This window comes from Homo sapiens, chromosome X (genome assembly GCF_000001405.40).
Source record: "Homo sapiens chromosome X, GRCh38.p14 Primary Assembly".
Lineage (NCBI taxonomy): Eukaryota > Metazoa > Chordata > Mammalia > Primates > Hominidae > Homo > Homo sapiens.
Window position 1 is genome coordinate 63,114,391 of NC_000023.11, and position 3,817 is coordinate 63,118,207.

General features: G+C 36.7%; 1 annotated feature.

The window, feature by feature from the left end:
• Positions 943–992: an enhancer, noted in NCBI's record as "active region_29704". NCBI's record gives its function as "activates an Ori minimal core promoter by ATAC-STARR-seq in GM12878 lymphoblastoid cells {active_cell/tissue: GM12878}" and the evidence as "EXISTENCE:reporter gene assay evidence [ECO:0000049][PMID:35858748]".

Here is a 3,817-nt window from a genome sequence, read left to right on the forward strand (position 1 = left end):
AGGCATCATTGCCATTGTTGACAGAGAGTTGAAAAGTTTTTGAGAGCAGAACATCAGGCAACCAACTTGCACAGGTTCATTCATTTCTCTTCAAACTTGAGCTAAGGTGTTGGTTGGCATTCTGGTTGTGCACTCATTGTGGGACACTATCCTGCCCAGGGAATCTCAGCCCTTGTGTCTCTGCATCCCTAGATTCTCCACAAATATTTACCAAAAACTTCTCTGACTCTGGCAACCACAGGGAACTGGCAGGATTCTGGGGACCTTAGGATCCCTGAAGAACTATCCTTCGGTATGGGACAACCCTGGAGGAAAGGGGAGCACAGCTCATGAAAGCACCCACTAGGACAGAGGAAAGTTGATTACAAGCCCTTCCCTGCCCAAGAGCCCCCTGCTTGTGACCAAAGTGTGCTTCTCCAAGCATAGAGAGATGAAGGCTTAGTGCTTATCTGTGAATGGGGGGGAGTGTTGTTCCAACAGGGTGGACAGGGAACACCAGTGTCCCAAAAGGGTCATAGAGAGGAGGTCTCCTTCCAGTCCACTGATCCACTGCTATGAATGTAGCTGTTACGTTTCCTACTAGGGCTTGATATCAATGCACTCAGACACAAACTTTTCAGCACTATCTGGGGCAGCGGCATTACCACTGAAAGTCTGCAGTATGCATTCCCAGACTTGCATAATGGATGGGGCTTATCACCCCCTCTCTATATTCCTGCAGTGAGTGCAGAACAGCCACAGAGCTGTCTGCCATTTCCTGAGAGAAGAGGTTCTGTCCCAAAGTCATTTATGGGGTACCTGCCAGATGGGCATTTTCCACAGATCTAAGTTCCACTGTGGCCTGGAAAAAAAGGACAGTGTCTATTTGAACTAAAAGTCATGAAACCTAGGACAAGAGTGTGGTAAGAAAGTTGGTCATGTTCCTGCCTTCTCAGGATGAGAAGATGGTTCAGCCCCTTCTTCCTTCCACCACAGAGACCACAGCCCATCCCACCATGAGCTCACCCTGCCACCAACATCAGGGAGGGTGCTTTTACTTGTCACCTAGCTATCTAGGGGTGAGCTCATTTGTAAGTGCCACCTAATGGAATAGAGATTAAACTGCACACCCAAATAAAAATGTGCTGACAGAAGGACATAATACTAGGAAACAGGATGAGAAAGCCACCACACACACACAAAAATCTACCTATAACCAACGAACTTAATACAAGCCTTGATCTTCAGAAATCACCCAAAATTGAAGACAAGCATAAACAACATAAATTACTGTCACATCTCAAGAAAGAAAAGAATAAAAAATTAAAAAGTCCTCTTTAAAGGAAAGCAAACTCAAAAATAAGAAGTGACAGTCCACGTGAGAATAAATCAGCATAAGAACTTCAGCAGTAAAAGCAAACAGAATATTTTGATGCCCCCAAAAGATTATATAATCTCTCTAGCAAGGGATCCTAACCAAAATGGATTTTTTAAAATGACAAATAAATAATTCAAAATATATATTGTAAGAAATATCAATAAGATCCAAGATAAAGTGAAAAAGCAATGCAAAGAAATCAGAAAAACATTCAGAATATGAATGAAAAATTTACTAATGAGACATATCTTTAAAAACACAGAATTTGTAGAAATAAAAGTTAAAGAAATTATAAAATATAGTTAAAAGCTTTAATAATAGACTAGACTAAGTGGTAGAAATAATTTCAGAACTTGAAGACTGGTCCTCTGAATTAACCCAGTCAGACAAAAATAAAGAAAGAGGTATTTAAAAATAAGCCAAGTCTTTGAGAAGTATGGGATTATGTAAAGAGACCAAATCCATGAAGTGTAGGCATTCCTTAGGAAGAAGAAGAAGAAAAAGTAAAAAGCTTGGAAAATGTAATTGATGGGTTAATTCAAGAAAATTTTAATGGTGAAACTTAGAGAATTAAACATCCAGCACAAGAAGCTCAAAGAACACCTGGGAGGTTCTCTGCAAGACAAATCTTACCAAGGTCTGTAGTCATCAGACAATCCAAAGTCAATATGAAGGAAAAAGGTTTAAAAGCAGCCAGAGAGAAGCATCTAGTCACATATAAAGAGAATCCCATCAGACTAACAGCAGACATCTCAGTAGAAACCATACAAGCCAGAAGAAATTCTAGGCCTATTTTCAGACTTCTTTTAAAAAATATGCTAGCCAAGAATTTCACATCCTGCTAATCTAAATTTCAAATATGAGACAGAAATAAATTCTTCCCAAACAAGCAAACACTAAGTAAATTAATCACCCACATTACTGACACCTAAAGAAATACCCAAAAAAAGTTCTACACATGGAAACAAAAGGATGAAACTAATCATCAAAAAAGCACACATAAGCACAAAGCTCACAGATTCTAGAAAGCACTTCCAAAATTGAGACTACAAAGCAAGTAGGTAACCACATTATGAGAGGACAAACTCTCACATACCAATATTAACTTTGAAAGTAAATGTACTAAATGCTCCACTTAAAAGATATGGGCTGGCAAATTGGATTTAAAAGAAACCACAAAATCCAGCAAATTGCTGCCTACAAGAGACCCACCTAATGGGGTATAAACACCCACAGACTGAAGGTAAAATGGTGGAAAAAGATATACCACACAAATGGAAAACAAAAGTGACCAGGAGTAGCTATAGACACACAAAGTTATTATATATTAATAAATAATTCAATTCAACAAGAAGATGTAACTATCCTAAATATACATGCACCAAACATCAGAGTATGCATATTCACAAAACAAGTACCACTAGATCAAAAAATAGAGATAGACAACAATACAATAATAGTAGAGAATGCAGCACCCCATTGACAGCACTAGACACATAATTATGAAACAAAATCAACAAAGAAACTCTGGATTTAAGCTTGACTCAACCCCAAGTGGACCTAAAGAGACATTTATAGGACACTCTACCCAACATCTTAAGAATATAAATTTTTCTTCTTTGAGTATGCATTCTTCTTGAAAGTAAACCATATCCTTGGCTATAAACAAAGTTTCAATAAATTCAAAAAATAAAATAATATCAAGTATCTACTTGGATCACAGTTGAACAAAATTAGAAATAAATACCAAGTAGAATTCTCAAAGCTATATAAATAAATAAAATCTAAACAATGTGCTCCTGAATGATCATTGGGTAAATGATGAAATTGGGCAGAAACGAAAAACTTTGTTGAAACAAATAAAAATAAGCACAACATACAATAACCTCTGAGACACTGCTAACAGAAATGTTAACAGCATTAACTGCCTACATCAGAGAGATAGAAAGATCTCAAATTAACAACCTAATATTGCACCTAAAAACTGGACAAACAATAACAAACTAAATCCAATGCTAGCAGAAGAAAGGAAGTGATAAAGATCAGAGCAGAACAAAATGAGACAAAGACCAAAAAGAAGGATAAATAAAATCAAATTTTTTTTGAAAGATACTCAAAATTGGCAGGCCAGTAACTAAACAATAAAAATGAGAAATGTTTTAAATAAGCACAATGAGAAATGATAAAGGTGAGATTACAACTGATACCACAGAGATACCAAGCAATCATCCAGGACTATTATTAAAATCTCTATGTGTACAAACTTAAAAACATAGAGAAAATGAATCAATATAGATAAATTCCTGGAAATATCCAACCTCTCAAGATTGAACCAGGGAGAAATGAAAATTCTGAACTCAATAATGTGTGATGATATTGAATCAGTAATAAAAAAATCTCTCAAGGGAGAAAAAAAGCCCAGGACCAGATGGAATCACAGCCAAATTTTACCAGACATGT